The following is a 9,023-nucleotide window of genomic DNA, read 5'->3' on the forward strand; positions in this document are numbered from 1 at the left end:
GCTTAATTCCAATTGAGAAAACTCTGCTCTTAATGACTTACTGACCTAAGCACTTGAATGACTGAACAAAGAGACACAAAATCCTGAGAGGGCCATCCTCTACTTATTGAAAGACTGCTCACAGCAAACTACTAAAGACCTTCTGAATGGCAGTGAATAACTGATGGTAGAAAGGAAAATATATTATTCTGTAACCTGATAGATACTACCAATAATATTCATTTTAATGTCTCAACCACAGAGATAAAAGTCAGACTAGGCCAGGAATGGTGGCTCACACCTGTAATCCTAGCACTTTGGGAGGCTGAGGGGGATGAATTGCTTGAGCCCAGGAGTTCAAGACCAGCCTGAGAAACATGGCAAAAACCTCATCTCTACTAAAAAAAAATAAAAATAAAAATAAAAATAAAAAGAAAGAAAGAAAAAAACAACTGAGGTTGAGGTTGGAGGACCATCTGAGCTTCGGGAGGTCGAGGTTGCAGTGAGCTGTGATCACACCACTGCACTCCAGCCTGGGAAACAGAGTGAGACTCAATCTAAAAAAAAAAAAAAAAGTCAGATTAATGTTATTGGAAAGGAAAGATTTAAAGAAATCAGCACATATCCAACTCCAACTCTTCTAGAGATACCTTAAGTTTCTGAGATATAAGAATTTATATATTACATTTATGTATTCAGTGGTTCTTAAGCAGGAGTGTATCCAGATTTTGAGAAAATTGTTGCTGTTGTTATTGTTGCTGTCGTTGTTAGAGACAGGGGCTCATTATGTTGACAAGGCTAGACTCGAACTCCTGAGCTCAAGCAATCCTCCCACCTCAGCCTCCCTAACAGTTGGGACTACAGCCATGCACCAACATGCCTGGCTTCAAGGAAACATTTTTAAATATACATATCCAAGCTTTATTAGACTTACTGTATCAAAATCTTCAGGAATAAGCCTAGACTTGTTGATTATTTAAAAATTTTCCTCAGGTTACTGGGATGCACAATTCTAGCTGAAAGCTAGTACAATAGACAATTACTTCAGTCTCATTTCTCACCACCCACATAACCAATTCCCTTTCTTATTTGAAGATTTGGCCAAAAAGAGTAAAGAGTAGGAGAGAGACCCATTTGCTGAAAACACCACATAATTTTTCCCGGTAACACAACAGGATCTAGTCAACTCAAAATCCAACTTGATCTTGTTACTCATTTATCTTCCACCTTCCCATCCAGACACTCTAGATTTGAAAGCAGAGCTGAGGCTCTAATTGGCCACTTCTACCAGAAGAGGATACTAAGTCAGTTAATTACTTGATATTCCCCCTGCTCAAGGGTTTCCCCTTACATTACCCACCTATTCACTGCCAATCTGGTTCCTCAGAGGCCTCCTAAAATTCATCTCTAGGCAGTTTACAACCCACTAACTCCCTCTCCCAAACTGAAAACTGTCATTCTCTAAAATCAAAGAGAACTTTGTCTCACCATACAAAGGAAATAAATAAATGAACAACAACAACAACACCACACACACACAACCTCTTCATGGTCTTTTCCCTCTATTGCCTAATTTCCAAATTGGCCCTGATATTTCTGACTGCTCTCTTTTTCCCTTTCCACTTCTGCCTCATGAGCAATCAGAAATATCTTAAGCCTTGCCACTGAGAGGTGCATCACCTCGTATCTATTACTGTTTTTTAGGAACTTGCCAAAGAAGCAGGATCTCTATTCACTGAGACATGTTTAAGTTTTCTTGGAGTTTTCATGTAAAACCTATTTCAGGGCAAATTTTGCCATTTTACATTCATTAGGGGAAAAGAATCCTAGGAGGGAAAAACTGAAAAATAGTAAGTATTACCTTTTACAAATTCAGTGTTTTCAAAAAAAAGTATTTACCGCAAGTGCATTAAAAAAAAAAACTGTACCCTCTAATGCTTCTTTGAAAGTAACAATATTTAAAATAAAATCTTAGATAATTAGGTCATTTCAAAATATTTTCATTCAGGTTATGCTTGAGCTTCCAAATATGGAAAACTGGCCCTTACACAGGTCAATGTTAACACGAATGCATTTCAGTATTTTGAAGATAAAATTGGTAGATCTATACCTTGTTTTTTGATTCGATATCAGCACCGTATAAGAGCAGTGCTTTGGCCATTAATTTATCTTCATTGTAGATAGCATAGTGTAGAGCGGTATTTCCATACTCATCTGGAATATTCGGATCAGTGCCATGTTCCAGCAACATTAACGCACATTCATCTTCCCGGCATTGTACGGCCTGTCAGTATTACACCATAAACAAATTACAAATCCTAGGATTTCAAAATAACATTCCACAGCTTTCACCAACTAGTTATATTTAAAGGAGAAAACTCATTTTTATGCTATGTATTGAAATCAAACCCACTTCACGCTGACATAGTTGGCTACTGCATACCTTTGTCAGAGCTGTCCTCTTTTTGTTGTCAAGGATATTAAGTTGACATCGTCTGTCCAGCAGGAGTTTTACTACTTCTGAATTTCCATTGGCAGAGGCCAGATGTAGAGCAGTCCTATGAGGGTGAGAAGACTTTTTAGGAAATTGTAGTGCACTAGCTACAGCCATATCAATGACACACATAATCACAAACACTGAATAGCCTGCTATTACTGTGCCTTCAAAACAAACATTTAACTTTCCCATGAAAAAAGCACACGATTTATTATCTCTCATTACTCGCTGTATTAATGAAAGAGCAGCCTATATGAATACAAAGAGCATAGCCCTTGGATGACATTCAACTTGGGCTGGAATCCTACTTGAAGCTCTGTCACTTTCTGGCTGTTGCTTAGCCTTTTGGGGTCTCAGTTTCCTCATCAATAAAATAGGAATGAAAATAGTAGCTTTCTCACAGGAAACCACTGTAATGCTTAAATGAGACTCGGCACAAAAGATACAGAATAGTTCCTAACACAAATAACAGCTCAATAATTGTTAGATATTATGATTTTTACTAATACCACTAAAGACAACATTTGAATTAAGTGAGATGATACAATTATACCTACACTTTCAGGTGTGTTTTAAATATTACAGCTAACATTGTATTTTAGTGATTCTGAGATGATCATTGTCTCCATGTTGTCTCCACTGAAATACCACTTACAATTCATGATTTACTATAATTGGTGGCATTTAAATAATTCTCTTATTGAGACATAAAATAATGGGGCATCGTACAATCTCTGGTGCCTTACATTAAGTAGAATATGTTATAATGTAACAGGTCTGGGGCGGTTCCAGTCAGATGACCAGCATTTAAATTTTAGTTCTTAAAAGTACTATGGAATAAGAGAGCTGAAGTGAAAACAAAAACAAATTTCTAAAATAAACCAATTCTTACTTTGGTTTTCAATAAACTTTAAGCCAAACAAAACTTGGAATTGAAATGAATAGCATGGGCTCATTTTTTTCAATACTTAGATTTATACAATGTATGTACATCAGATATTTCCAATCATTCATATTAGGATTTAAGACTGTTATAAATTTTCTCTTTTTAAAATGGATTTATGAAACTATTTGTGGAGCTTTTTTCAACTTTTACATTCAGGGGTACATGTGCGGGATGTGCAGGTTTGTTACATAGGTAAACGTGCACCAACGGGGTTGGTTGTACAGATTATTTCATTACCCAGGTGTTAAGCCCAGTACCCGTTCATTCTATTTCCTGCTTCTTTCCCTCCTCCCACCCTCCACCCTCTGATAGGCCCCAGTGTGTGTTGCTTCCCTCTAGGTATCTGTGTGTTGACATCATTTAGCTCCCACCTATAAGTGAGAACATACAGTATTTGGTTTTCTCTTCCTATGTTAGTTTGCTAAGGATAATGGCTTTCAACACCATCCATGTTCCTGCAAAGGACAGGCTCTCGTTCCTTCTTTTATGGCTGCATAGTATTCCATGCTGTTTATGTACCACATTTTAGTTCTTAAAACAACTAAAACAGTCTTTATCCAAGACTTATACATTTTCAAAAGGGCAGTTAAGGGTTGTCTTTTACTATTTTCTACCTTCAGAAATGCTTCTGTTTGAAAGGAGGGAGGAGAAGCTTCAATTGAGATTAAGTCCTAATGCCCCAATTTTAAATCTCTCAGCTTGCTCAAGCCCAGCAGGCAAACATAAATGTTTTCAAAGATGGAAGGATCCTGAGAGATAGTAGAATATGCCTGCCCCATAATAGGCGTCTGGCTTATGTCTGATGACTAAACGGATTGAAAACAATGGATGAACACAGCTTGGGAGTTCAATATTTTTAAAGAAAACTCCTGTAGAGTAGGGCAATACATTTGCAATAGTAATATCATTTATATTTGCTATTTTAATTTTCATAAATATATAACTCAACTAAAATGATTAATTCATACTTTTTACATGTTAATCTATATATAATGAAAAGGTAATTATGTGATAAAATCTATATACAATAAAATCTACAGGAACAGGTAAACACAATCCCTCTACTTCTGAAGAGGGTAAAAGTTCACAGTAGATAGCCAACCACAGAAATAAAAATAAATAATAGAATGTGAGAAATTATTTGCATCTATGCAAGAAGCATATTCCTTCTCTTCCCAAGGATTATGTCATTACTAATGAACCTAAACTAAAAGTTCAGATGTTCATTGCAGAAATCACAGATAAAAGGAAAAACTTCATTTACAAATCCCCAGAAACAAGTTTGATTATATTTTCTACATATTTTCAGCTAACACAAGAGCAGATTCTGTTCGTGTATATGTGTAACAAACTGATTTTTTTCTCACTTGCTATAGCAAAGTACATCTTTGCATGTCGACATATCTCTATGTACTGACACCCTCAATAGTTACATATTATTCCGTCCTATGGATGCACTGAAATTTGTTCATGAAATCTTTATATGGGCTTTTCTAAATACACTGCTATTTTAAGCAATACTAAGAAAAACAGACATCTATTTGGTGAAGATATTTCAGTATAATGGAACTGATGAGGAAAAAGCATAACATTTTTAAAATGTGGTTCTTACCACTAAAGTGCCTGTTTGAAAAGCTGCAGCAACTTAAACTTTAAACAACTATATAAGTACCACTGTTATTCATCCTCACAAACTTTGTGGATAGAAAACAGTATTTCATTCCTTTTGTTTGTTTGTTTTTTAGATGGGGTCTCACTCTGTCACCCATGCCGGAATGTAGTGGCACGATCTCGGCTCACTGCAACCTCCACCTCCCTGGTTCAAGCAATTCTCTTGCTTCAGCCTCCTGAGTAGCTGGGATTACAGGTGCATGCTACCATGCCCAGCTAATTCTTTGTATTTTCAGTAGAGATAGGATTTCACCACACTGGCCAGGCTGGTCTCAAACTCCTGACTTCATGATCCACCTGCCTCAGCCTCCTAAAGTGCTGGGGTAACAGGCGTAAGCCACTGCACCTGGCCTTTCATTCCTCCTCTAACTTAAATAGAAAACAGTATTTCATTCCTCTTCTAATTTAAATTCCTTCTTCTACCAGGAATGCTATCTTTTCCTATGCACATAGGTCACTGGTAGATATGCAAAAAAGTACTTTGCCCAATTTTAAAATGTGCTTATTTTATTGCATATATAGGCCAGGCATGGTGGCTCACGCCTGTAACCACAGCACTTTGGGAGGCCAAGGTGGGTGGATCACGAGGACAGGAGTTCAAGACCAGCCTGGCCAAGATGGTGAAACCCCATCTCTACTAAAAATACAAAACAATTAGCCAGGCGTGGTGGCAGGCGCCTGTAATCCCAGCTACTCAGTAGGCTGAAGCAGAGAATTGCTTGAACCTATGAGGCAGAGGTTGCAGTGAGCCGAGATCGCACCACTGCACTCCAGCCTGGGCAACAGAGTGAGACTCCATCAAAAAAAAAAAAGAAATTTTGTATATATATATATATATATATATATATATATATATATACACACACATGTATATATATGTATATACGTATATATATATATACATATATATATACATATATACATATATATACATGTGTATATATATCTGCATATGTAAATAGGCACTTGTGTTTTCTTCTGGTATGTTTCTCTTTTTGTATATTTAAAATTTTTAATCTATACTCTGATTTTTGTGATATAAACATCTAGCTAGTTTTCTCCAAAAATGAATTATGAACAATCCATCTTTTTTAAATAATACAAAACGTCACCATTATCAAGCGCTAAATTCCTACATATATTTCGGTATTTCTAAATTTCCTGTTCTGTTTTATTCATTGATGTCTTTTCAGCTGTTAGTAAACAATTTGTGGAAATAAATAACATGCACATTTTGACATCTGGAAAAGCAAGCCTTTGTCCATTCTGCTACAAAAAAATTAACTTAGCACAATAATAAAAGACAGCATGTGTAATTTAAAAACTCTAAAACTGCTATTTTTATTTGGCTTAAGTAAAAGTGATAAATAGAAAAAGCTCACTTTTTTTTTTTTTTTGAGATGGAGTCTTGCTCTGTCTCCCAGGTTGGAGTACAGTGGCGTGATCTCGGCTCACTGCAAGCTCCGCCTCCCGGGTTCACGCCATTCTCCTGCCTCAGCCTCCTGAGTAGCTGGGACTACAGGTGCCTGCCACCGCGTCCAGCTAATTTTTTTTATATTTTTTAGTAGAGACGGGGTTTCACCGTGTTAGCCAGGATGGTCTCGATCTCCTGACCCCATGATCTGCCCTCCTCAGCCTCCCAAAGTGCTGGGATTACAGGTGTGAGCCACCACGCCCAGCCAAAAAGCTCACATCTTCAGAAAATTCAATCTTCCTATTCAAGCACAAGAACCATCTTCCCATTTCAGTTCTTCTAAGTAATCTTCTAAGATTACTCAGTAAAGAACATATTTACATAGTGTACATTGATATAAAATCCATACTGGATTTTATTTGAAGAATATTTAGCCCTGAAGTTGATGTGTTATGGGGCTTCATTCTTAGTTCTCAATATACACTTTTTTAACGTACAGAACATTGTTTTAAAATCTGTACATTAAAAATAATCTGCTGCATCGACAATGTTGCGAGTTAAATCACTTCAAAACAGTCTATTAGTGTTCTAGGAGGGAAATTATAATTTGATTGGAAATCAGCTAAAGTTTTGTTTTTGTGTTGCTGCTCATAAAGGGGCCTGTGCCCTGAACTCTCTGAGGTTTCCACATCCAGGGTGGTGTGAGGCCTGCGGAGGCGAGAAAACCAGGCTCCCCTCCTCCCCCGCCAGGAGGGTATGTCCCCATCATCCTCCCACATCCCACCTCCTCCCAGCCCAGGCCTGGTTACCTCTTTTGCTTGTCCTTCTTGTTCATGTCAGTGTCCTTGAGCATGACGATGAGATCCTTTCTGGGGACTTTACCCCACCAGGCAGCTCTGTGGAGCTTGTCCAGATCTTCTCGACGGACGTGGTACCTCGGCTCCATGAAAGCGCTGTCGTCGTAGTCTCCCCAAGGGCCCACTTTGCTCTTGCCGCTCCCCCTGCAGCAGGGGAAGCAGTGGCAGCACCACTTGCCCATCTTGCTCCTGAGTGTCTTCATAGCAGAGTCGTCGTGGTCTCCAGAAGTGCCCACGTTGCTCTTGCTGCTCCCCCTGCACCAGGGGAAGCAGTGGCGGCACCACTTGCCCATCTTGCTCCTGAGTGTCTTCATAGCAGAATCGTCGTGGTCTCCAGAAGTGCCCACGTTGCTCTTGCCGCTCCCCCTGCACCAGGGGAAGCAGTGGCGGCACCACTTGCCCATCTTGCTTCTGAGACCAAATGGCTTCTTCACAGAGGAGGCAGCCGGCATTGAACCAGCCTCAGCCACCATCTGCTTTTAACAGCCAGGGGAGGCCGGTAGTAGCCAGCAGATCGCGTCTACCAACCAGTTTCACCAACTAGCAGATAACTCCGGGTTTCTAATCTGTTTGAAGAGAAAAGTCCCGACCAAAACCTGCCAACCCCAGCAGGGGAGCCCAGCCCACCCCACCCAGGGAAAACCCACACCCACCTGGGGAAAGCCCACACCCACGCTGGGCGACCCCACGCCCACCCCAGGAAGGGCCAACCCCACCCCCCAAGAAAACACCCGGCCCACCCAAGGGAATGCCAAACCCAGAAGAGAAAAGGTCAAGTCCAGCAAAGTAACGTGACAGAAAAAACGTCAGTCCAAGGAAGAAATGTCAATCCAAGCGACAAACGCCAAGCCAAGCAAAGAACGCAAAGCCAAGCCAAGCGCTACAGGCCAGCCAAGCCGTCACGCACGTGCAGTGTGCGCATGCCGACTGTTACAGACCAGCCAAGCCGTTAACGCGCGTGCAGCATGCGCGTGCAAGCCATTACAGGCCAGCCAAGCCATTACGCACGTGCGGCATGCGCGTGCAAGCAGTTACAGGCCAGCCAAACCGTTATACGCGTCCGGTGTGCGCGCACGGCATGCACGTGCAAGCCGTTACAAGCCAGCCAAGCCACTGCCGCGCGTGCGGCGTGCGCGTGCGGCGTGCGCGTGCGGCGTGCGCGTGCGGCGTGCGCGTGCGGCGTGCGCGTGCGGCGTGCGCGTGCGGCGTGCGCGTGCGGCGTGCGCGTGCGGCGTGCGCGTGCGGCGTGCGGCGTGCGCATCTCTGGTGGTGTCAGTACACGTGGCACAGACAGTGGCCGATGCGTGCAACCTGCATAAGCCTTGGAACCACGAATGTCACTGACAGCCTGGTGTTTCCCGGCAAACTTCCTGGGAGTCAGCCGAGCTTTCAGGCCATTGAGAAGCCTCTGGTGAAAGAAAAAGCTTCTTGAAGCAGGACTGGGGCTAAGGGGCTGGAACTTGAGGATGCTGACAGCCTCCTCTGAAGAAAGCCCCCAGGACACTCCTGGTGGTGCTGTTGTGCATGGCCGCTGCTGCAGCTCAGAGCACCGGCTGGCGGAGCTGGCTGCAAATGGCCTCAAAATCACGGAGCATGTTCTCACTCACAGGTGGGAATGGAACGAGAACACACGGACACAGGAAGGGGAACATCACACAC

The 9,023-nt window shown here is 41.6% G+C and overlaps 1 protein-coding gene across 2 annotated transcripts in view; it reads right to left on the bottom strand.

Annotated features, from left to right (window-relative positions):
• The window catches only part of POTEG (POTE ankyrin domain family member G), a 31,856-nt gene extending 23,967 nt beyond the window's left edge, over positions 1–7,889 (bottom strand). For both annotated transcript variants that reach the window (NR_027480.2, NM_001005356.3), the window contains exons 1-3: positions 7,317–7,889; positions 2,423–2,537; positions 2,090–2,263 (exon numbers count right to left, since the gene is read on the bottom strand). Coding sequence is in view for 1 of the 2 variants with exons in the window: in NM_001005356.3 (NP_001005356.1) it covers positions 2,090–2,263; positions 2,423–2,537; positions 7,317–7,837 (810 nt within the window). In the remaining variant the exon portion in view is untranslated. The remainder of the gene's footprint in view (positions 1–2,089; positions 2,264–2,422; positions 2,538–7,316) is intronic.
• Between the last annotated feature and the right edge of the window lie 1,134 nt (positions 7,890–9,023).

This window comes from Homo sapiens, chromosome 14, assembly GCF_000001405.40.
Source record: "Homo sapiens chromosome 14, GRCh38.p14 Primary Assembly".
Taxonomy (NCBI): domain Eukaryota; kingdom Metazoa; phylum Chordata; class Mammalia; order Primates; family Hominidae; genus Homo; species Homo sapiens.